This window comes from Homo sapiens, chromosome 17 (genome assembly GCF_000001405.40).
Source record: "Homo sapiens chromosome 17, GRCh38.p14 Primary Assembly".
NCBI classification, from domain to species: Eukaryota; Metazoa; Chordata; class Mammalia; order Primates; family Hominidae; genus Homo; species Homo sapiens.
In genome coordinates, this window is record NC_000017.11 from 28,167,654 (window position 1) to 28,193,679 (window position 26,026).

General features: G+C 39.3%; 1 protein-coding gene across 4 annotated transcripts in view, besides 1 other annotated feature; it reads left to right on the top strand.

Annotated features, from left to right (window-relative positions):
* The window catches only part of NLK (nemo like kinase), a 163,398-nt gene that overhangs the window by 124,977 nt on the left and 12,395 nt on the right, over window positions 1-26,026 (top strand). For 2 of the 4 annotated variants that reach the window (XR_934482.2, NM_016231.5), the window contains exons 6-10: window positions 795-1,004; window positions 4,864-4,965; window positions 17,526-17,612; window positions 23,368-23,566; window positions 24,467-24,560. Coding sequence is in view for 2 of the 4 variants with exons in the window: in NM_016231.5 (NP_057315.3) it covers window positions 795-1,004; window positions 4,864-4,965; window positions 17,526-17,612; window positions 23,368-23,566; window positions 24,467-24,560 (692 nt within the window). In the remaining 2 variants the exon portion in view is untranslated. Of the gene's footprint in view, window positions 1-794; window positions 1,005-4,863; window positions 4,966-10,272; window positions 10,461-17,525; window positions 17,613-23,367; window positions 23,567-24,466; window positions 24,561-26,026 lie in introns of those variants that run through there. The other 2 variants (XR_001752526.3, XM_005257988.3) reach the window with 2 other exon arrangements.
* Window positions 25,597-25,806: an enhancer, noted in NCBI's record as "active region_11919". NCBI's record gives its function as "activates an Ori minimal core promoter by ATAC-STARR-seq in GM12878 lymphoblastoid cells {active_cell/tissue: GM12878}" and the evidence as "EXISTENCE:reporter gene assay evidence [ECO:0000049][PMID:35858748]".

Genomic DNA, 26,026 nt, shown 5'->3' on the forward strand with positions numbered 1-26,026 from the left:
AGCCTGGGCAACATGGCAAAACCTCATCCCTACAAAAAAAAAAAAAAACCCACAAAAATTAGCCAGGTGTGGTAGCACATGCCTGTAGTCCCAGCTACTCAGGAGACTGAGGTGGGAGGAGCCTCAGATCGATCACGCCACTGCACTCCAGCCAGGGAGACAGAGTGAGACCCTGTCTAAAAAAATAAATAAAGTCGTTTACGTTCACCTAGTTTTTTTTGCTTCGATTATCAACTGAAAACAGACATGTTTTTATTGATAAAGATGAGAAGAATATTTTTAAGAAAATGATGTAAGTTTGAGACTTTTTTCCTCTCTTAACCAAATAAAACCAGATTGTATATTGACATAAATATACTATACCTATATCATTAAAAATGTTCCAGAGTGGCCGGGCGCAGTGGCTCACACCTGTAATCCCAGCACTTTGGGAGGCCAAGGCAGATGGATCACCTGAGGTCAGGAGTTTGAGACCAGCCTGGCCAATATGGTGAAACCCCTTCTCTACTAAATAATACAAAAAAAAAAAAAAATTAGCCAGGCGTGGTGGTAGGCACCTGTAGTCCCAGCTATTCGGGAGGCTGAGGCAGAAGAATCCCTTGAACCCAGGAAGCAGAGGTTGCAGTGAGCTGAGATTGTGCCACTGCACTCCAGCCTGGGTGACAGAGTGAGACTCCATCTCAAAAAAAAAAAAAAAAGTTTCAAAGTTCAGTGCCCTATCAAAATTTTGATGTTTTGTTTTACTCTTTCATTTGTATTTGCTTGATAATGTTTTGATTGCCTTTTCTGTCTAGATTTGTGATTTTGGATTGGCCAGAGTGGAAGAATTAGATGAATCCCGTCATATGACTCAGGAAGTTGTTACTCAGTATTATCGGGCTCCAGAAATCCTGATGGGCAGCCGTCATTACAGCAATGCTATTGACATCTGGTCTGTGGGATGTATCTTTGCAGAACTACTAGGACGAAGAATATTGTTTCAGGCACAGAGTCCCATTCAGCAGGTATGATTTCAATTTAAGGCTTTAGTTGCAATTCTATTGCAGATTTGAAGGAAAATCCATCTTGCACATGTGTCTTGGGCTTATTCATTATACTGTCTAATTTGCTTTTAGGAAATTCAGGTTCACTTAAAATTCAGAAAGTTATAAAGTTGAAGATTACAAAGAGATTCATTTTGTAACTTATGAGCCTTTAGAGGGAGTATTGAGTTTATTTATGTATTTATTTATTATTATTATTATTTTTTGAGACGGAGTTTTGCTCTTGTTGCCCAGGCTGGAGTGCAATGGTGCCATTTTGGCTCACTGCAACCTCCACCTGCCAGGTTCAAGCGATTCTCCTGCCTCAGCCTCCCAAGTAGCTGGGATTACAGGCACGCTCCACCACACCTGGCTAGTTTTTGTATTTTTAGTAGAGACAGGGTTTTGCTGTATTGGCCAGGCTGGTCTCGAACTCCTGACCTCAGGTGATCCACCTGCCTCAGCCTCCCAAAGTGCTGGGATTACAGGCATGAGCCACTGCACCCGGCCAGTTGACTTTATTATATGCACTGATGCATAGCTGTGAGCTCTGCTATGACAATTTGCACAGGTATAATCTTCAGTTGTTAGAAGGCCTCTCTTCCTTCTAAGTGAATGGCTCTGACTTGAAAATGTATTGGTGACTTAATGTACTTACACTTTGTGCTTAGAATATAAATTTTTAGTGTGTTGATTTCTTGAAATCTGAACATTTAGGAAAATTTCTAACCTTTATTATTGGACTAAAATATCTAAATATGGCAGAGAACATCAGGAGATGATTAAAATATAATTTCCTCAGAGAATCCTTTAGAAGCCATTCATGTTACTTGAATTGTCTTTAAAGCTAATTATTCACTAATACACATATTGACATAATTACTGGGTATTTTGTATTAATTTGCTTGCATGAAAATAATGTAGTAACTATGAGCTCAGGCTGTGAAATCAGATTGGTGGGTTCAAATCCTAGCTGCACCACTTATGTTAAATCTTGGGTAAGTTACTTAACCTCTGTGTTCCTTTTTTTTTGCTGCTTCTTCTTCTTTTTTTTTTTTTTTTTTGGCCCCTAAAACTGTTCTGAGGATTGTTGTACAATGAAGTAGGAAAGCTGAAAACGGGGCCTGGCACATAGTAAGCACTCTGTAAATGTTTGCAATTACGATGGTGGTAGTGTGCCAGGACTCTAGGGATACAGCAGTAAATAAGACAGCATTGTTCTTAACCTTTGTGAAACTTTTACATGAGACAAAAATAAATATGCAAATAAATATGATTCCAAGTAATGGAAGTTCCATAAAGAAAAATGTAGCCAGGTTAGGGACAGACAATGGTGGCAGAGCAGAGCAGGCACTAAAGGATTCTCTGAGGATATAACATTTCACCCACATAAAATAAGGCAGTAAGATGCTGGAGAAATGTTCCAAGAAGAGGGACAACCACCATAACAAAGCCCCTGAGGCAGGAACAAGCATGGCATGTTGGAGGGAAGGTATGTGATGGAAGACGCTGTAGGAAATGAGGTCAGAAAGTGAGAAAGAACCTGGCCATGGTGACATGATAAAGCCTTAAGATTTTATTCTAAGTGTGATAGAAAACTTAAATGAAGGTTTTGACCAAAGGAATACTAAGATTTGATTGATGACATTTTAAAAGATCACACTGACTACTGTGTCTTTGTAAATAATTAATGCACTTGACCAGACAGAATTATTTCTTTTATGCTTTTTCTACAAAGAATTTTTACCTAATATGTTAGAAACTATATCTGCTTTTATCAACATTTAAATTTTTCTATGCTATACGTTTTAACTGTCTTTTTTAAAGTTTACATCTTAAAAATTGATTCTGGTGTTAAAAAAATTATGTACATATAATACTTAATCTAATGTTGGGTACTTTTGACAATATTCACTTTTCAATTTCTTCAGAAAGTAAAGTTTAACAGACTTAACCTGTAAGACTATCATATCTGGACATAAGCTGTCATAAAATGGATGTGACTACTACCTTGCATACAGAAAAGCTTAAGTAAAAAATAATAAGGAAGTATTCAAATCCTATATATGGAACAAGAATCTTGAATTGCTGCTGCAAAAAATATGTGAGGGAAAGTGTGAAGCAACTGGACTGGAGTTCAGATATCCCTTTGCTAGAGAAATACATAGATCTTCAGTTTGGCAGTCTGACATAGCCACTGCAGGAGAATTCATGTCTGTCTAATTGTTGGTGTGTGTTGGGGTGAGAAATGAAGATCTAAAATAGGAAAAGGCTCTAACTTCTAATGGAAGTCATTATTTCCTGTTGTATTTTCTCTGTATCTTTGAGATTTAATTACCCTGGTACTAGCAGACATCATAAAAGTGTTTCTCATGTATGGATCTGACCCATTTTAGACAACTTTCTGAATGTTTCAGTTTGTTTTTATAAGCTAGTCATTTCCTTCTGCCTTTAGTGTGGTTGTTAGAGATCCAAAAGTATCACCTACACACTTTTCCCAAAAAGCTTTGTATAGAGATCTTTATTTCTGTGGAAAGCAAGCTTCTCAAGTATCTCCATTAACCTGTAGGGTGTTGATGCTGATGGCTACCCCATGGTTTAGATAAGTGCAGAAAATAGTGCTTTATATTCGGCAAGCCCAGAACCAGGAAAAGAAGTGTTCTCTAGGTAAGAATTTCCCATCCTGGAAGGATCCAAATGAAATGTTATTGCTAATTAGGTTATGAAGTTAGAACAATTGTGACACTACAGAAAATTGGTAAGATAGTTTGCTACCCAAAGACTTGTTTGCAAGAAGACTGTTTTATTGGTCTCTTTTATTGTGTCCAGCTAGCTAAATGTGGTCTTATGTGGTGTCATATTTTTCTAAGTGTCACAGTTTTCTGCCAGCGTAAGAGATTTCTAGCATGACTAGAATGTAAAGGATGTGTACTGGCCCAAGCATGGAGAGCTTAGCTTTCATTTCAGGTGTGAATATTTTCAGTATTTATTAAATCACAGGTGTCTGATTTGTGGATTAGCACCTTGGTGAGCCTGAATCCATTTGAAGCATCAGAATCCATTCATTAACTGTTTGGAAAGAATAGTCATTAGGCATCAACAGAAGAGGAGTTCAACTTTGCAAAGATCTTAGATGCTATGGTATCAAGAAAACAGGACAGACATGCAGACTCCCAAATTGCTATAGCCTTAGAATGTCATGCTTATCAAAACATATTTTCTATATTTCTATCATATAAATAGGAACTTTTAAATAAATAAGTAGGAACTTTTAAATAATAGGATAAATAGGAACTAAATAATAGAATAAATAGGAATAGGATAAATAGAAATAGGATAAATAGGAATGGAATATATAGGATAATCCTATATATAATAAATAATATGTTAAATAGGAATAGGATAGATAGGAACTTTTAAATAATAAATAGGAATAATAACAGGAATTTATTTAAATTCCTTTACATGAGGAATTTATTTAAATTCCTTTACATGAGGAATTTATTTAAATTCCTTTACATGAGGAATTTATTTAAATTCCTTTACATGAGGAATTTATTTAAATTCCTTTACATGAGGAATTTATTTATTTTAAATTCCTTTACATGAGGAATTTATTTATTTTAAATTCCTTTACATGAGGAATTTATTTATTATAAATTCCTAGAAATCTTTTTTAATAGGCCAGAAAGTGAAAGTAGGGGCTCCTGTCAGTTAATCTAGAGCTTGTCTTAAGGTTTTTTCCCCCAGATTTGGTCCACTTCTCTAAGGCTATGATTTAAGAGTAATGAAAAGTTATTTCCATGAGATTACTATCTATCTGTATTTTATTTCCTTGTAGTTGGATTTGATCACGGATCTGTTGGGCACACCATCACTGGAAGCAATGAGGACAGCTTGTGAAGGCGCTAAGGCACATATACTCAGGGGTCCTCATAAACAGGTGAGAGGAGGGGGGAATCTTTTTCTGGTAACCATCTGTTTGGGCAAGATTTCCCTTCCAATAGAGTAATCTATTAAGGATTTTTAAGCAAATGTATTATCTGTAGGATTTTTTTTTTTAACATCAAGGTCCTAAGTAAGAAAATGTTCAATATTTGTCAAACTGAATAAAATCTCATTCCTAATGCCGTAGGAGAAAGTGCGTGTTTGTGTAGCTCCTTTGCTAATAGATGACCCTTGGCTTTGTGTCTCCTGATTTATTGGTGTCTATGGGAAAAATTACTGGAGATGGAGCTTTGACCTCAATGCCATAACCTACTACATGTATATCAAGATGTCCTTTCCAAATACTGAGCCAAAATACCTCGTATTTCTTATTCCAGCCAGGACTGTGAAGCTGTTGCTATTGCACTCTTGCCACTAACACAGAATCAGATGTGAACGTTGTTAGAAAAGAAGTATGAAGATAGATTGCCAGATTTGCACTCATCAGTATTACTTGCAACTAGCCAAGTCACTGCTGAGAAAGACAAAATGGTTTTTTATCTCCACCTGTTGATTTAGCAACAGTTTTTACAAGCACTTCCTTATCTCCTTTGGACAGAACAGCTTAATGATGTGAAGAGTGAATAAGGGGAATACTTTTCCTAGGAGCAACAAATTAAAACAGAACAGATAAGACTTGAACAGGATGACCCAGCAACAAATTTTCCTGAGTTTTGGTTTCTTTTGAATTGGACGTTTAGATTATCTGATTGATGGTACCAAATGACAGAGTGAATTTGACACTCCTCCTCTCAAACTGTCAGCCAGACATTTGCAAAGGGAAGGTGGCAAAGGGAAGACCTCACCTTCCCTTTGCGGTTCTCTCTTTGTAATTCTAGTGTGACTCCAGAGCTTTTGTTGTCACAGGCATAAAGGGCAATGAGGTAAAGTGTGTTCTCTTCTAAAACCAGCCCAGGCTAGTAAATAGAGATGTATGCTTGTATGTTAAATAGCCCTCTGATGGTTACATGTTTCTGTTGCATTTGGTTTAGAACTGTAAAATAATATGAGGCCCTAACACCTTGAGAAGAGCACAGTAAGTCTTAACCTAGAGGAAAGTTCTATATTATAGAAGGAACTAACAAGATCTATTATGTTCCATTTATTGGCCAGCATCAGGAACATAAAACTAATTTACTAATGCCTCTTGGTAAATGTGTCCTTAGAAGTAGCAAAATAATTGTCCTCTTTCACTGACTTCATTAATTAGTAAATCTTGCCTGGTTCAAGGTAAACAATAATGAAGAGTGAAGAAGATCAGACACCCTTATGCTACCCTTCTGTCTCTAGAGGAGTTTTAACTGTTGTTAATGGTTGCTAGTTAATTAATCATCTGTGTCAAAGAGTTGCTAAACAGCAGCCTGAAGAACAAGGTTTCCTGAGGAGTTTCCTGTCTGCTGTCTAGATAGAACGGCTGGAAAATGTAACCTACTGCACCAAAAGTCACTGTGCACTGCTCTGAGCATTCCTGGCAATTGAGTACTTTTTCTGTGAAAATTTTAAAAATCTGTTAGTTGTAAAAACCTAAGACTTTCCATGAAATAAAAAAAGGGTAAATATATTATTTTGTAAAGCAAAAGAAGAGGAAAGGAAAATCCAAAGTTCCACTATTATTTAACTAGTTAAATAGGTTGAGATGTCTAAACAAATCATTTCTTATATATTTTGCTATTAATTGGCCTCTTAACAGTAATCCCTTTGCTTATCACTGAGTTTAGTGATGACCTTAAGGGAGCACTGTGGTAAAAGTTAGGGGCAGCCCTTTCCAGTCTTGGTGTCGGCATATTTTGATTTTGAAGAGAAGACTGGTGGAGTGAAAACTAGTTAGGAGGCCATTTCCGCTTAATGGCTAGATGCACTTTGCAGAGACTTTAAAGTCTTTAAACGGCTTTTATCCACTGCTTGAAGTGGTCTCCTTAGGCAGATGTTCATGGTCTTTTAGCACTAATCCAGCTAGATGTGTATAAAGTTATACCAACAATACATAATTGAATGTAAATAAACCTAGCATATTGCCTGCTTCCACTTTTCCTCCAGTATGGAAATTCAGTTTTTGATCTATGTTTGCTAGTTGATCTTTATCATCGCTACTCTCATGAGATGTCAACAGGTTCTTGAAGCTCTTTACTTAAGCCACCAATCAGATTCTACCTTTTCACTTCCCACTCCCTGCCCACTCACCAACCACATGATGCATATCCTGTGTGCCTCTTGTTGGCCTATTAGCAGCTGCTTGAAGGTATTGCCATTCATGTTATAGCTATTTACAGCTGAGGTTGGAAGACACCTACACACGATTATATTTGGTATGTAGCCACCTGGATTTTTTTTTTTTTTTTTTACTTTAAAAGATTAATTTGGTCTTTGGAATATACAATATAGCTTATGTTTTGGTACATCATGACTTTTCTGCAAAATGTATAGGGTTTAGCTTAGTGCTCTGCACAGGTTATGTACTCAATTTATAACCTCTGGACTGTAGTGATTAAGAGTGTAGTGTCAGCCGGGCGCGGCGGCTCACACCTGTAATCCCAGCACTTTGGGAGGCGGAGGCAGGCGGATCACGAGGTCAGGAGATCGAGATCATCCTGGCTAACATGGTGAAACCCCGTCTCTACTAAAAAAATACAAAAAAAAAAAATTTAGCCAGGCGTGGTGGCAGGCGCCTGTAGTCCCAGCTACTCGGGAGGCGGCAGGAGAATGGCATGAACCCAGGAGGCAGAGCTTGCAGTGAGCCGAGATCACGCCACTGCACTCCAGCCTGGGCGACACAGCAAGACTTCGTCTCAAAAAAAAAAAAAAATAGTGTAGTGTCAATCTCAGTTTCACCATGTTGCACGTGTTTTGAATGGTGAACTGGGAGTTGTACAATACGGTTTTCAGACAGATTGAGTATGAATCCTGGCTTTACTAGTACCTCCCTTTGTGACTTAGGCAGATTATTTAACCTCTGTGTATATCAGTTCATTCATCTGTAAAATGGTGATTAAAAATGGTTTTACCTCATTAAATTGTTACAGTGAGAAAAGAGCTAATGCATGTAAGGAGAACATAGAATAGTGCCTGGCACATACTAAACATTTAATAAATATTAACCATTAAAGTTATGACTCTAAAATAGCAGATAAAGCTTGTGACTTCTAAAAATTATACATTGTGATCAAGTGGGGTTTATCCCAGTAATGCAAGGGTGGTTCACCTACAGAAAATCTATTAATATTTTATAACAGAAAAATCTATTAATATTTTTAACACCTTAAGCAAGAAAAATCATGTTTATCTCAATTGATGCAGAAAAGGCATTTGATAAGCTTCAGTTTTTTTTATGCCTTAACATAAAGGATCTTTACGAAAATCCATAGAAAAATTTGGGGTGAATTTCTTTTAAGCTTACAAACAATACAGTGAACTGTATAACACTTTACATGAAATAAAAATGTGTGCACACAGAAGGAGCCTCTGGCTTTTAGAAAAGACTCCTAGTAATCCTCAGTGATGCTGCTTAGGCCAATTGGGAGGTCTTCATTTGGGGGTCTAACTGGGGCAAGTTCAATCTCACTGTATTTATTTTAAATTACTTAATATAGGAATATTAGATTGATGGTGTTTAAACTCATGAAGAATACTTCTAAAAATTCAATACAAGTTTTTGAGTTTGGACTGAGAAAAACTAAGCTTCTTTCAAGTAGTTTTCATTTAAGTAATTACTCAAAGTTAGACATAAATTATCATTTTTGTTCATAATTTCTAACAATAATTAGAACTTTGCTATGTGCTGAACACTTCTTATATACTAGCTCATTAAATTCTCACAATAACACTATAATGTACCATTACTATTCCTTTTTACAGATGGGAAATGGAAGATTAACAGAAGTTAAATAACATGCCTAATGTCATAAGCCAGATGTTAAAATTAGGTTTCTTTAACTCTAAAATCTATGTTCTTAGCTAGTATACACTGCCTGGCACTTACATATTCACAGCAGACTTATTAAAATTTCATTTGTATATCTGCAGGTAATCTGTGAGAACATATAAAATAAAATTAAAATTTTACAGCAAGTTAGTTATCTGCAACTACCACCCCCAATCCTAGTCTTGTCTGGATTAACTTGAGAATATCTTTCCGGATATATATTCACATATTTATATTCATTTATTTACATATATTTGTATAAATAGAATATGAGACTTTTAAAAACACACAAATACAATGGGCCCTTAAGCAATGCAGGGGCTGGGGTGCCAACTCCACCCCCCTAACCCCCTGCCTACAGTTGAAAATCCATGTATAAGTCGATTAACACATTTTGTATGTTTATATGTATTATATACTGTATTCTTAAAGTAAGCCAGAGAAAATAAAATGTTATTAAGAAAAATTATAAGGAAGAGAAAATAGACTGTTTGTAAGTGGATCATCATAAAGGTCTTCATCCTCATTGTCTTCATATTGAGTAGGCTGAGGAGGAAGAGAAAGGAGGGGTGGCAGAGGCGAAAGTGGTGGAGGAGGTGGAAGGAGAGGCAGGCACACTCAATATAATTTCTATTGAAAAAAATTCACATATAAGTGGACCCATGCAATTCAAACCTGTGTTGTTCAAGGGTCAACTGTATACATATACAGAAGGAGAACCTATTTGACTGTCATCTTAAAGTCACAGATTAATGTGTCAAATTAATGTATTTGTGTTGGTTAATATAAATGCTTCTATGTGGCATGTTTAGTCAAGACTCTTTCCAGTGAAACTTAGTTTAAACTGGCTTAAGCGAAAAAGGGAACTCTTAAAGGCTCATAACTGAAAAATCTTGAGCTACAGCTGACTTCAGGCCCTGTTGGAATTCAGGTTGTGAGATGATCTTCCATGCCAGGAATCTGACTCTCCTCTGCTCCGCTTTCCTGTGTTCTGCCTTCATTTTCAAACAGGATTTCCCCAAGTGTTTGCAAAGATGGAGCCAGCAGTCCAGGCCTACATTCTATTACCATAACAATCCTTCTGGAAAGAGCTTCCTAAATAGCTCCAGAAAAAATCTTTGAAAGACTTTTTATTAGGAATGTGTTTGGCTATAAGTAGTAGAAAATTATAGTGGTTTAAGAAATAAGATACATGTTTTCCTCATATCAAGAGGTTTCCTCCATAGTCTGGAGCAGATAGAGTAGCTTACTTGTGTCAAGGATCCAGCTTTTTCATTTTCTGCCCTGCCATCTTTAGAATGTTGCCTGCATACTATATGGTAACTTGTCACCATATGACTGTAGCTTGTCCAGAAATCACATCGATATTCAAAGCAAGAAAATGGAGGAAAGAAGGTGCATTAGCAGTATCTGTTCCCTTAATCGGGAAAGCAAAAGCTTTCCTAGAAGCCTGCTTAGCAAACTCCTGCTCATATGTCATCATCCAGAACTGTGTCATATGTGACCTCCTAGCTGCAAAACAGGCTAATAAAGTGAGTATTTAGCTTTTCTGTTCTATATAATAAAGTCAGATAAGGAAAAGAGGGTTGAGGGTATATATTGGGTTAGCCATCCCATTGTCTGTCCCTTGCCTATTTCAGACCATGTGTCCATCCTGGAGCTGGTCATGGTGCTCAGGAAGGGTATCATTTGATTGGCCAGGCCTGGGTCAGGTGCCCATCCTTAGGAGTTGGGAGATTGCAATCAAGCCTAATCAAACCACTTGGTTTGGGAGTGAAAGGGGGTGGTTCCCTAAAGGTCAGGGAATCCTGGGCAGAATAAAACACTGTGTGATGTTTCAAGTTTATTATCTCTTTTCTACAACTCAAAATCTTGAATGAAGGGAAGTATAGCTGCCACAGCCCACGTATCTATTAAAGAAGATAGTTCTTCAACTGACCTGTTGATAGGATTGAAAAGTCTATTGTCAGCTCTTAGTCCTCTTGTTCTTCTCTTATAATTAGGTTTAGGTCTTCAGTTTTCCTCAGTTTGTTCCCACCTAATTGTGTCAGAAATAGATAACAATATTTTTGCGAAGTGAAGATAGTCCTGTCTCCTGACAGGAACCATATCTTATATTTAACAGACTTTAAGGATCTTAGAGAGTTCATTCAGTTCAAACTTATTTTATAGGTGGGGATTTATGTCACCCCAGAGTGCTTACTATTGTGTACTCACTGTGCATGCTCACTTAATGTTACTGACTGATCATCACAGCTTCTTTACTGCCAGCTAAGGTCTAAAACTTACATGTAGTTGAATGAAAACTAATAGGAACGTCTGCTCGGGACACTTGCACGGTCTAGCTGACCCTGCTGTAGCAACCAGCATGCTGCAGTTAGCTTATGATGACTCTGGCATATCATTTAGGGCCACTCACCCAAGTCCAGAAGCTCATCTTTGCTTCATTTAATTAATCATAGTCATTAATAGAGAACTCTTTATACCCCTTCCTGTCCTCATGATTCAGCACTGGCACCCACTCACTCCCACATTGCTAAGTTACTTATAAACTTGCAGAACAAACAGAAAATGGAGCAGTTTATTTTAAAGGAGGAAATTTAACATGTGTGAATGTTAGGAGAATTGGCAAAAATATTTCCAAATGAGATGTTTAGGGCATATTTTTTTTTTCTTTTGAGACAGGGTCTCGCTCTGTCACCCAGACTAGAGTGCATAGCTCACTGCAGCCTCAATTTTCCAGGCTCAAGCAATCCTCCCACCTCAGCCTCTCGAATAACTGGGACTACAAGCACATACCACCCTGCCTAGCCTTTTTTATTTTATTTTATTTTTATTTTATTTTATTTTAAGAGAGAGGGTCTCCCGGCTGGGAATGGTGGCTCATGCCTGTAATTCCAGCACTTTGGGAGGCCAAGGCAGGCAAATCACTTGAGGTCAGGAATTCAAGACCAGCCTGGCCAACATGGTGAAAGCCTGTCTCTACTAAAAATACAAAGAAAGTTAGCCAGGCATGGTGGCAGACACCTGTAATCCCAGCTACTCGGGAGGCTGAGGCAGGAGAATTGCTTGAACCTGGGAGGCAGAGGTTGCAGTGAGCCAAGATCGCGCCTCTGCACTCTAGCCTGGGTGACAGAGTGAGACTCAAACAAAGAGACAGGATCTCTCTAAGTTGCCTAGTCTCAACTTCCTGGGCTCAAGCAGTTCTCCCACCTTGGCCTCCCAAAGGGTTATGATTACAGGCATGAGCCACCGTGCCCAGTTCTAGGGCATATTTCTAAGCATTCTTGGTTTTTTTTTTTTTTTTTTTTTTTTTGCTTATTCAGATTGATTCTATTGCACTTAAGAGAAATGTAAACTTCTTGTTTGTTGCTGATATCGTGGTCCAAATGGTTTTAACCTAATGGCTGGTGAGTTAGTGGGAAGAAAGTGAACTTAGAAATGCAGTATCTGTAGCACTTCGTCTTTCCTGTGGAGCCAATGCTAGAAACTAAAATTTTAATCGTTGTCTTTCTGAAGAACCATTGGCATGAATAAACTGACACAGAAAAGGAGAAAGTATGTAATATGGCTGTTCTAGGCTGAAATGATACTTTTATTTTTATTGTATTTGTTGAGGTGTCCTTCTATAAAGAAAGGTGAAATTTGGTGGAGGGAGAAAATTAAAATTTCAGGTAGCCTTAACATCACTCATTTTATTTTCTTCAGCCACTCATTCCATACCCAGTTGTCTTTAAAAATTCTGCCTTTTAATTTGTTCTCTGTCCTCATTCACTGGCATATAGAACTACTTATTTGCCTGTCTTCCTTGCCCACCAGAGAAGTCTTTTTCATCTTCATTACTTCAATAACTAACCCAGGCCCTGACATTGGGTGGTTGCTAAATGAGTAGCAATGATGTTAGGAGGCAGGGGTGTGTGTACTGGTGCAGTTTAACAGATGAGAAAGCCAAAGCTTGAGTGACTTACCTAAGTCTAGTAATGGCAAGGATAGGATTCAAACTCATGTCTTCTAGTACTTCTTCCAGTGTTCCCTTTGCTAAGCTATGACATATCTTCACCACAAAAATAGTTTGAGTAGTTTCACTTTGAGAGTGGAAGGGAAAGAACTGTTTATGGTGAGGCAATTCAATTGTACGAATTGTCTGGAATTTGGCTGCCAACCTGCACAGGCTAGTAAAAAAGAAGACAGCTATTCACAGTAAAAATTTTTCAGGAATATCAAATTACTTCACTTTACACAATAAAAAAAAATTCTTGTGTAAAACACATGTAAATTAAGTTATAAGTTAGAGCCTCTTCCCCATCACTCTCCACCTCTCCTTATTTTGACTAATACAGATAATTTCAGAGCTTTATAGACTCACACATTTTTAAACAAGAAATACTTAGGCTGGGCATGGTGGCTTACACTTGTAATCCTAGCACTTCGGGAGGCCAAGATGGGAGGATCACTTGAGACCAAGGGTTTGAGATCAGCCTGGGCAACACAGGGAGACCCTGTCTCTACAAAAAAATTTTTAAAAAAGTTAGTGAGGGTGGGTGCGGTGGCTCACACCTGTAATCCCAGCACTTGGGGAGTCCGAGGCAGGCAGATTGCCTGAGCTCGGGAGTTCGAAACCAGCCTGGGCAACATGGCAAAACCCCGCTCCACTAAAAATACAAAAAAATTAGCCACGCGTGTGGCAGGTGCCTGTAATCCCAGCTACTCTGGAGGCTGAGGCAGGAGAATCGCTTCAACCTGGGAGGTGGAGGTTGCAGTGAGCCGAGATCAGTCACACCACTGCACTCCAGCCTGGGAGACAGAGCAAGACTTTGCCTCAAAAAAGAAACAAAAAAAAAGCCAGCCGTGGTGGCACATGCCTGTAGTCCCAGCTACTCAGAAGGCTCAGGTAGGAGGATCACTTGAGGCTGGGAGTTCAAGGCTGCAGTGAGCTGTGATCGTGCCACTACACTTCAGCCTGGGCAATAGAGCAAGACTCTGTCTCTTAAAAAAAAAAAAAAAGGAAAAGAAAAATACTTCTCTTTTTATTACCAAGGAATAGCGAGTTGGTCTACAGATACTTGAATGCCAAATATACTGTATGGGTTCTGTGCATATATGTAACTTTTTTATCCAGAGTAATCTTATCAAGACTCACACAAGGCTGGGTGCAGTGGCTCACACCTGTACAAATCCCAGCACTTTGGGAGGCCGAGGAGGGCCAAAGGCTTGAGCTCAGGACTTTGAGATCAGCCTGGGCAATGTCACGAAACCGTGTCTCTAAAAAAATACAAAAATTAGCTGGGTGTGGTGGCGCACGTCTGTAGTCCCAACTACCTGGGAGGCCAAGGTAGCAAGATCGCTTGAGCCTAGTAGGTGGAGGCTGCGGTGAGCTGAGATCGCACCATTGCGCTCCAGCCTGGGGGACAGAGCAAGACCCTGTCTCAAAACAAACAAACAAAAAACAGACATACAATTTTAGAACTAAAGTAAACTTCAGAAATCAGATGGTCCAACCCCCTCATTTTATACTTAAAGATACCAAGGTTAAGACATGTTGGATTTATCTAATTAGTGACAAGACAGAGCTAGAACCTCACCTAATCTTATCTCTATTACTCTTTGATCCTGAAGAAAACTTATATATAATGAATAATTACCTCCTGATGATTCTGAGGTATCTTCTTGGTGTTGTTTTTGTTTGTTTGTTTGTTGTTTGTTTGGTTTTTTTGGATTTTCCTACATGGCTTTTGTTGGAAGGAAGATATATAAAATTCTTGATGTTAATAGTTGTCCTAGCAGGATTCTGAGGCTATGACCAAGGTCCAAGGAAACCTTTTAGTGTTCTGCTTCTCCTGTTTCTGGTGTTGTGGAGAGCTTGACCCACATGAGACCTGTTTATGTTGCTGTTCATGCTGCTGTTTCTGGCCTTCCAGTGCTGAAATGGCAGGAGCTTTCTGTGATATTTTGAATTTTCATCTACTGACAAACCAGAAAATACAAGGCAGACTACCCACAGGAAATTTATTTAAGAGTTTGCAAGTAAAACTTCCTTCCAGTTTGCCTTGAAAGTAATGTAGTGTTGCTGAGATGGTCAAATTCTCCCAAACATAAGCCAGACTGCCTTCCCCCACCACCCCACCCCTGTTTGGAGCTCTGTTCTCTTGTTAGTAGACCATTAATGATGTAGTAACAAAATGTAAATGCCCTGACCCTAAAGTGGTATGATGAAGCAGTGTCTGCAGAAGAGATCAGGACCAGATAAAGATACCACACGGTTCACAGATGGCTTTTTAAATTGTTTTTCAAATGAGAGAAACACATATGTTTTTTAAACTCTCTTTTAAGTTTTTCCCACAAATATAATCATAGTGAAGCAGGCTGGGCATTATATAAAACAAGAAGCCCAGGAACTATGAAAGGCTGCTCTAGTCTGAGATTATATCCTAAAAATTCAAAGTTTTATAGGGAACCCCTGAAGAAACAGAGGATGTAAAAAGGATTTAGAGAAGCTGGGCACAGTGGCGTGTGCCTTTGGTCTCGACTACTCGGGAGGCTGAGGTGGGAGGATCGCTTGAGCCCTGCCTGGGCAACATAGCAAGACTCCATTTCTTTAAGAAAAAGAAGAAGCAGCAGCACTTAGAGCTAATGGGAAGAGATCAGATCCAGATAAAATACAGTTTATGGCACTTGAGCCTCTTCACTTTCCAAAGCATAGTGAAGGTCAGGGGTCATTACTCCTACAGTTAGGTTTTCTTTAGGCTAGGCTTTGACTTTTTTTTGTTTTTAGAATCTCACTCTGTCACCCAGGCTAGAGTGCAGTGGCATAAGCACAGCTTACTACAGCCTGAACCTCCCAGGTTCAAGCAATCCTCTCACATCAGACTCCTGAGTAGCTGGGACTACTGGCATGTACCACCATGCCGGGCTAATTTTTAAGTTTTTTGTAGCAATGGCATCTCACAATGTTTCCCAGGCTGGTCTCAAACTCACAGGCTCAAGCAGTCCTTCTGCCTCGGCCTCCCAAAGTGCTGGGATTACAAACGTAAGCCACCGCACCCAGCCTTAGCCTGTGACTTTATTGTTATTTGAGTTGATTCTCATATGCTTTGACCTACCAAACTTTCTGACCACAGAAAGGTTATAAGTAGACGGCAGGTCTAAAACCCATTAGGAAAATCATTTACCCCACTAAGAGATTAGTTTTTTGTTTTTTTTTAAGTGGTATGAAAGTCAAGCCGATAATAATTTGGCCATAAGTCTAGAACTTTCAAAGCTTGAGGAAAAAATTCTCTGCTAAAGGTTGTATTAAGCATGGGAAGAAAAGGAGTCTCTAAACATTTTTTGTCACCTTCCTTAATTCTGCCTTTTTTATGTTAGAGATAAATAATTTACTTGTGTGAGAGACAGAGCAATGATGCCATTTACCTGCTCTGTCCCCTGACGCTTCTAGCAGTGAAATGGAAGCTTTATAAGCTCTATGGCTTCTCAGGTCATTAAAGCCACCTCCCTGCTTCACAGAAGTCAGATATGGCCATGTGGATATGCCTACCACTTATGAAGGCAATTCTTGAGTGAGAAATCAATGCTAAAGGCCATTCAGATTGAACCATCAAAACCAATGGTGTACTTTCTTACAGGTTCTGTAAGTTCTTGCATGTCCTTTGGCTCCTTTAGGACTAATATCTCAGCACCTTTATGGTAATGTCATAAGACATAGTTCACATTCTTATAGTTTACATGCTTTGCATGTGGCCCAGGTTTTAAAACCTTTCAATCTTTTCTCTCCCACCCCTAGGCATGTTTGATTATCATTCTTGCCAAAGCATTTAAGATGTAAGGCTAACTAAAACCCATTTTTGGCCATGCTCTGATCCCACATTGTTTCTATAAACTCAAGCTTCTGTACCTCATTGGGGGTTTGGGGCTTTATTTGGAAGCCTCCCGTGTACGCACGATAAATAAATGTGTATGCCTTTTCTCCTCTTTAAAAAAAAAGATGGCTAGCAGGAGTGCCATATTTGCAATTCGTTTTCATTTTTTTATAGACTCTTTTGTGCTTTCCCCTACAGTGGGTAATCATGCAATGTAAAAATCTACGGGGATGGACGTGGTGGCTCACGCCTGTAATCCCAGCACTTTGGGAGGCCGAGGCAGGCAGATCACTTGAGGTCAGGGGTTCGAGACCAGCCTGGCCAACATGGCAAAACCCCTTCTCTACTAAAAATACAAAATTACCCAAGCGTGATGGCACATGCCTGTAATCCCAGCTACTCGGGAGGATGACCACAGAAGAATCACTTGAACCTGGAAGGCGGAGGTTGCAGTGAACCAAGATGGCGCCACTGCACCCTAGCCTGGGTGAGAGAGCGAGAATCCATATCAAAAAATAAAAATAAAAATAAGTAAATAAATAAATAAATAAAAATGCTACGGGAAGTTAGTAACAATTGTTGCTTTTGAAGACTGGTTACTGAAGGGAAAACTCATTCTCCTTGAGTTTAGACACACATTGCCTTTTGAACTGAGTACTTACCTTATCATAAATTGGCTGTATTCCATAGCTGTTTACACAAAGACTCACTTAAATATTTGAATTTTTAATTTTTTCACAGCCATCTCTTCCTGTACTCTATACCCTGTCTAGCCAGGCTACACATGAAGCTGTTCATCTCCTTTGCAGGATGTTGGTCTTTGATCCAGTAAGTAGTGTTTTTTTTTATATATTTTTAATGAATTACAAATACATGTGTTCGAGAGAAACATTGTGGTTTTGAATAGATTGGCAATGTAAATAATTACTTTTCAGAATATAAACTTCAATCCCCAGTATCATGTGTATCATGCACGCTCATCACACAGAAGTTTGATTATTAACACATAAGAGTCTAAGGGAAGAGATAAGGAGCTGGATCTTATTTAACTCTTATTTCTTATTTATCTCATTATTTGTAAAAGGAGTTTGACACCAAGTTAAGTCAAGACAAAATGATTTTTTGTTTTGAGACAAGGTCTTGCTCTGTCACCCAGGCTGGAGTGCAGAGGTGTGATCTCAGCTCACTGTACCCTCAACCTCCCAGGCCCAAGCAATCCTCCTACCCGAGCCCCCTGAGTATCTGGGACTACAAGCATGCTCAGCTAATTTCTAAATATTTTGTAGAGAAGAGGTCTCACTATATTGCCCAGGCTGGTTTGAACTCCTGGAGTCAAGTGATCCTTTTGCCTCAGCCCCGCAAAGTGCTGGGATTACAGATGTGAGCCACCGCGCCCGGCCAGGACACAAAGTTTTTTAAGGTTATTTGAAAAAAAAATCTGACCATTATATTGCATAAGGAAATGTTTGCTCTGTGTTGTTGAGATGGAAGCTTTTCCCAATACCCTTTCTGGACTTGACTCTTCTGGAACATACTACAAATTATACTGTAAGTTCAGCTCTTCATTTATTCATTCATCCAAAGAATATTTATTATTCACATCTATGCCAATAACTATTGTCAAAGAAGACTTAAAAATGGAAGCATTTAGTAAAGAAAATTTAACTTGCCAAGAATACAAAGTCACCAAATACGAAAAATACCAGATATTTAAAAGATAAAACAACCACAAAATTACCAAAGTTATTAAGTTTACATTGGTCCATTTGTAGTGAGAAAGCTGCAACTTTCTCAGAAGATATCAAATTCACAAAGCTTCAGACATCAGCACAGCAAAGATTAGGGATAAAAATAATTCTGTTAAGGAGTTCAGGTTTGTGAGAAACAGTCAAGGTTTTTTTATTTGGGGGACCAGAACCAATTAGGGTGACCCAAATTATTTTTGTAATGTCTCAGGGTACAATTTAGATTGCTTATGTGTTTATTTTGGTGTTTTTTGCTGTTGTTTTCTTTTTTGTTTTTTTACTGTGGTGTATTAGTCTGTTTTTACACTGCTGATAAAGACATACCCAAGACTGGGCAATTTACAAAAGAAAGAGGTTTAATTGGACTTAAACCTTAAAGTTCCACATGGCTGGGGAAGCCTCACAATCATGGCGGGAGGTGAGGAGGAGCAAGTCATGTCTATATGGATGGCAGCAGGCAAAGAGAGAGAGCTTGTGCAGGGAAACACCCCTTTTTAATCTGGTCAGATCTCATGAGACTTATTCACTATCACGAGAACAGCACAGGAAAGACCTGCCCCCATCATTCAGTTACCTCCTAGGTCCCTCCCGTAGCATGTGGGAATTCAAGATGAGATTTGGGTGGGGACACAGCCAAACCATACCATGTGGTATGTGAAGTGCTTAGTGATACTATAAGCCTGACAAAGTGGCAGTTCTTGCTCCCACAGTCTCTCTTTGTGATCAAGTTCCCACTATTAAGGACAATTTCAATCATATAACTTGCTTTATTGAGCTAGTGATTTACTATCATTTGATATTTTGTGTTATTTGGTAAGTTTATCTACATAACTAACAGAAGATGTTGATCAATATGTTAAAAAACAAACTCCTTTTATATGGTTAACAAAACTAGAGCTGTGTGAAATTCAGGCTTCAGAGGTAATTTCTGTCTGACCATAGAGGATTTTATAAAGGGTCTAGGATTGAAATTTATGTGTTAGAAATATTTTATTCTCTATTTCTATTTAGATTTGGATCCAAGAACCATGTAACTCACCTCTACCAGGTGTGCATACACTGTTTAGAGCTGTAAGGCATCCTCTTTCTCTGAGATCCCATGTTTTGTTTGGTTTGGTTTGGTTTGGTTTGGTGTTTTTGAGACAGAGTCTCGCTCTGTTGCCCAGGCTGGAGTGCAGCAGCGCAATCTCAGCTCACTGCACCTCCACCTCCCGGGTTCAAGCGATTCTCCTGCCTCAGCCTCCTGAGTAGCTGGGATTACAGGCACGTGCCACCACACCCGGCTAATTTTATATTTTTAGTAGAGATGGGGTTTCACCATGTTGGTCAGGCTGGTCTCAAACTCCTGACCTCATGATCCACCTGCCTTGGCCTCCCAAAATGCTGGGATTACAGGCATGAGCCACCGCACCCAGCCTAGAGATCCCATGTTTATTAATGCTCCCGATCTGCCAGGAAGGTAGTGTTTACAGTCTTTAAGGCTGGAACTTCCTAAGCCATAGAGCAAGTAGTAAGCCCATTTTTCTGGGAGGTCTTTTGTACACAAGTTCTACATGTGACATGTAGTCCTTATTCCTTAACAGTGGGATTATCACACTTAATTAAATGAAATTTGTGGTGTAGTTGTAGTTATAAAGATTTATCTAAGGAGAAAGATTTATCTGGTAAGGAAGAGTATATATTCTTTTGGAACCTATGTAAGTAACTACATAGTCATTTAAAAATAAAGAAATTAGGCTGAGCATAGGGCACAGTGGCTCACACTTGTAATCCCAGCACTTTAGGAGGCTGAGGCAGGAGAATCTCCTGAGCCCAGGAGCTTAAGACCAGCCTGGGCAACTTAGGGATTACAAAATTAAAAATTTTTTAAATTAGCTGGGCGTGGTAGCACATGCCTGTAGTTCCAGCTACTCCAGAAGCTGAGGTGGGAGGATGGCTTGAACCCAGGAGGTTAAGGCCAAGGCCACAGTGAGCCATGAGCTCACCATTGTACTCCATCCTGGCAAGGGAGACAGAGGGAAACCCTGTCTCAAAAAGAAAGAAATTAATTTATTTAATGCACACTACATAATAATTAACCATTTTTATCACTGTGTTATAAACAAAGCCGACAAGTTTGTTACTTTGTTACAGAACTATTTTTAAATTAGCCTGATGCTTTATTAGCTTTTGATCTATATTAAGGATTTTTTTTATTTCCAGTTCTGAGAGTTCAATGAGAACAAGAAACCATTTAAAGAGAGGTTTGTTCTGATTTTAACCTGTTAAATTGAAAGTCAGCAATACATTAAGAAAGAAATGAGGTGTGTTTGTGTGTCAGGGTCTCACTGTGTGACCCAGGCTGGAATGCAGTGGCACGATCTCCGCTCACCACAACCTCCACCTCCTGGGTTCAAGAGATTCTCCTGCCTCAGCCTCCTGAATAGCTGGGATTACAGATGTGCGCCACCACACCCAGCTAATATATTTTTATATTTTTGGTAGAAACAGGATTTCACCGTGTTGACAAAGCTGGTCTCGAACTCCTGACCCACCTTGGCCTCCCAAAGTGCTGGGATTACAGGCGTGAGCCACTTTTTAAATATCCATGAAGAACAGACCATTGACCATAATTAAATCAGTGTATTTATTTAGTCCATTTAGTCTGAGGTAACTAGTTATTCTTGTTTTGTTGATCTTGGGTTAAGCAGTCTACTGCCATCACATGTCTGCTCCTGAACTGAAATGATGACTCAATTACTTGATTCAGTCTAAGAGCAGGTGTCTGTGGTGAGATACACATACACAGACAAACACAGACACACACACACACACACACACACACACACACGCTGAACATCCCTAATTTGGAACTTTGAGTGCCAACATGACACCACAAATGACCTGACCTCAGTGACAGGTCACCATCAAAAAGCAGGCATACAACACACAGTTTGTTCAGTATCCCCAAGGGAAAAAAGACCCCCAGCCTCCTTCAGCTGTGATTCTATCTTCCCCAAGCATATCCAGATTCCCCCATGCAAATGTGCCCACAAAGGGTAATAAAATGGCACATCTGCAGGCCAGATGCACCAATGACAGGTTCCCCACAATGTCCCACATGCTGCCAAGACCTATAGGCATTATTTACTGTATTTTTTGCCTATTCTGTGCTCTTTGGAGTAAAAATATTGTTGAAAATGTCAAAAAGTCCTGCAGATAACCCAGCAGGTAACTGATTTTTTTAAAAAGAGGAAGCATTTCTGTTTATAGCACAGAATGCCAAGCTATTGGAGAAACTGCACAGTGGTGTAAGTGTGAAGCATCTTACAGACAAGTATGTTGTTGGAATGATCACTGTATGTAACCTAAAGGAACAGAAGGATAAACCGTTGAAGTTCTGTCCTGAAACTCATGAACAGAAGTTAAAGAAAAATAGAAGGAAAGGGAAGCCAAGGGCTCAGAGAGGCCTGGGATCAGGCACATACACTGTCAGCCTACTTGTTCCTTTGGGTTCAAACAGTGGAACACTATCCCAGTGGAATCTCTAGGAATCGCTATCAAAGGACTCAGACTTTTTTAGAAAAAAAGAAAAGGAAAAAGTTTACTTGCTAAGAATGCAGGGAAGTCAGACTTCAAAAGAGCTAGATCACCAAATACAAAACATAAACTTATTGAAAGGAAAAAAAAACAAGGTTATCAAGTATACGTTTGCCTGTTCCTGGTAGATAAACACCCGCTTTCTTCTGTGATTATCTTATCTTGAAAGGTCATGACATGCCTTTTTACATCAGCATAGCAAAAATCAGTGATAAAAGTGTTTTTAGGGAATCCGGGCTTATGAGAAACATTTCATTATTATTTGGGAACGAGAACAGTTGTTTTTGGTTTATCTGAGAACAAAAGTGGTTTTCATTTTTAAATTGTGTAATGTGAAGAAGTGCTTGGTCATATTGGAATCAGGGCAAAGTGTGTGTTCTTGTTTTTGTTCTACTGTGTACTAGTGAGTTCATCCTTAAATCTTTAAAATTTACTTTCAGTAATACACGTATGTCTACTGAGCTAAAAGAAGGGACAATTTCTTTAATTTTTTCATGGAGTAATGTTAAAAGTTTAGATTTTCAGGCAAACTTAAAACTCATGCATTCAGTATTCTGATCTAAAGTGACAGAAAATGACTAGGTGCAGTAGCTCATGCCTGCAGTCCCAGCACTTCAGGAGGCCAAGACTGGAGGCCACAAATTCAAGAACACAGTGAGACCCCATCTCTACAAAAAATTTAAAAATAAAGTGCCAGAAAACAAAAAGCTAGACTAGACTTCTGATATTCAGACTGAGCTATATCTCAAAATATGGCAGTCAGACCACTGTCTGCTGCCTAACTCCAGCAGCTTTTGCCATCATCTGTTTGGTATTCTAAGAGAATAAAAATTTCAAGCAACTTTGAAAATTGCCACTGTGAACGCATCTTCAGGATGCTGACACATATTTAGAAAATATAGCCTGTTATTTAAAAGGTAAACGTAACCCCTTCAAAGCACTACATAGTTAAATGTCATGATATTTGTGATTTTTGACCCAGCATACATCTATTTCAATGTAGTAACTTCTTAGAATTTTAGAAGAAAGGCACTTCTAAGTACTTTGTGATGGTAGATAATAACAGTAGTTGTCCTAAATCATACACTCCCTCTGCTGCTATGTTACCCACCTCTAAATTCAATTATCCCTCTTTGGACGGGATGTACTATAAATTATATATATGCTATGTCAAGCAGTTAATGTGTCTTTTGAAAGATCCTATGTGGACAGTCATTTTATCTGTAGTGTTGATGTGCTGGTCTCTAATTTGATTTCAGTCCAAAAGAATATCCGCTAAGGATGCCTTAGCCCACCCCTACCTAGATGAAGGGCGACTACGATATCACACATGTATGTGTAAATGTTGCTTTTCCACCTCCACTGGAAGAGTTTATACCAGTGACTTTGAGCCTGTCACCAATCCCAAATTTGATGACACTTTCGAGAAGAACCTCAGTTCTGTCCGACAGGTTAAAGGTGAGTATCTGTTTTGGCCTTTGGCCAGGCAATATGCCTAGTAACATTTTCCATTAGGTGGCCATGAAGAGCTGAGATCTGGATGGTAACCAAAGCTCCCCTCTATGTTTATTTTACAACCTTGCGTATAGCTGTGTGTCCGGGGCATAACAAAGCATATTTAATATTATATCCAGGGGAAGGTCGGGGAGAGGAATGAATATTTTGTTCTTATTTTCAAAGTTTATTTAGTGAGTATGACTCAAAATATGTTTAATATGTATTCACTCAGTGTCATTTCATTGATTCAAACGTATTGAACTTTATATAACATACAAAGTTCCATAAAGGATAAACATTCACTGAGGGAATTATTCCTTGGACGATGACAAGAGAAGGGAATTTCTGATAGTGTACTCATAAAATTTTGTGGCAGGATCTCCTATTGGAATACAGTGGGAGTAATGACATCCAAAATTCTGAGTGATTTTAGTGTCTACTGTAGGACATTTTACAAGAGAGAGAGTAGTCCCCAAAGTAACCACCTGAAACTATACACCTAGATACCAACTGAGGTCTTTAAGTGATCTTCAAAAAGGCAATAATTGCCAGCAACTTAGAAGAGTTCACCCATAATGCCAAACCTGTGGAGTCTCTCTCAAATTTATAGGCCATTTTACTCTTCCCACTGATGGGGTTGCAGTCTGTGTAATGCCACCAGTAGGTTTCTTATATTTAGCAACAGCTGTCATTTTAGTTTTAGGAAGTTCAGCTGAATTCTGCTTGATAGATGATGTGTGTGTTTGATTTAACTAAACCAGTAGGCAGTGCTTTTCAGATGCTGGCTAGAGTTCGCTGAGAATTCACTGCTCCCGGGCTTGCAAATTGTCATGGATTGTATGATGTTTGTTTTCTCCACAGAAATTATTCATCAGTTCATTTTGGAACAGCAGAAAGGAAACAGAGTGCCTCTCTGCATCAACCCTCAGTCTGCTGCTTTTAAGAGCTTTATTAGGTAACTATATGTATGTAATTCAACATTCTTGTTAGAATTAAAAGGATGCCAGTGTTACTTCATTATTCAGCATATTTGTTTTTATTTAGATAACATAGATAAAAGGTGCAACAGAAAGTTTCTGTTATGAGGTTTGGCTTTAGTCAAAAGTGTATTAAAACTGTAAGCATCTGGGCTGGGCGCGGTAGCTCATGCCTGTAATCCCAGCACTTTGGGAAGCCAAGGCAGACAGATCACCTGAGGTCTGGAGTTCAAGACCAGCCTGACTAACATGGAGAAACCTTGTTTCTTCTAAAAATACAAAATTAGCCAGGCATGGTGGTGCATGCCTGTAACCCCAGCTACTTGGGAGGCTGAGGCAGGAGAATCACTTGAACCCGGGAGGCAGAGGTTGCGGTGAGCCGAGATCGCACCATTGCACTCCAGCCTAGGCAACAAGAGCGAAACTCCATCTCAAAAAAAAAAACAAAAAACTGTAAGCATCACATTTTACACTGGTGCCAGTTCACTGCGGTTGCTTTGGCAATTTTTTCCCCGGATGACCATTGTGCTGCCTCATCACATATATGGCAGTCCTGCTGCAGCATTAGTATGGTGGCCACCTGTCCTGGAGTTAGACGTGGTCATCTCAGTTCCCACTACCATTCTCACTCCCTAGTAATAACTGCAAGCAAGAAAATAATTTTTTTGTGTGTAGGTGGACTGCTGGTGTAGCCTATTTAGAGGAGAAGTCAAAAGGCATATGGTAGAGCTATGAACCTACATTGGAAGTTACCAGGCTTCATTCTCCTTGTCTGTCTGTCCTTTCCTTCTCTTGATTTCTTTTTCCTTAACTCCTTATATATTGATCAGGGTCTAATCGGGAGAAATAAACCACTTCCCTAGAATACAAACGGGGAAAATTCAGTAATAAGAACTGTTAACTAGGAAAGATGATCAACTGCTAAAAGGCATAAAAGAGGATTCTGAAGGCTGCTGAAGTAGCAAATGCAGAAAGCAGCCACTCCCTGTAGACTGAGGGAGAGTAAACAAGAAAGGAATTAAGAATTTAGAAGAGGTTCCTCATGTAAGGACCTCTTTGGAGAGGGTATGGCTGCCACAGGAACTGGAACACACAGCACGAGGGTGGTGCAGAAGAGGAAGTGTGCCAGAAGGTGTGGCCAGAACTGGTCCATCAAAGACTGCCTGCCAGGAGAGTTCGGGTGGACCAAAGCTGAGCCTTCCACATGACCAAAAACAGGCACAACAAACCAAGGAAGGGAGACTGCTTCCTGATGCTACAGCCTTGCAAATGCCCTTCCAGCACCCTCTGTTGACAAAAGCTAACATTAAGCTAGGTGGCAAAGGGGAACCATGAACAGGGTCTGGCTCCAGTATCACAAAGCAGGACAAAGGGTGGATTCGGATATGAGTGGTCACACAGTCTCTATCTTCCCCGCTGCCTTTCTCCTCTCCTTTTTCTCTCT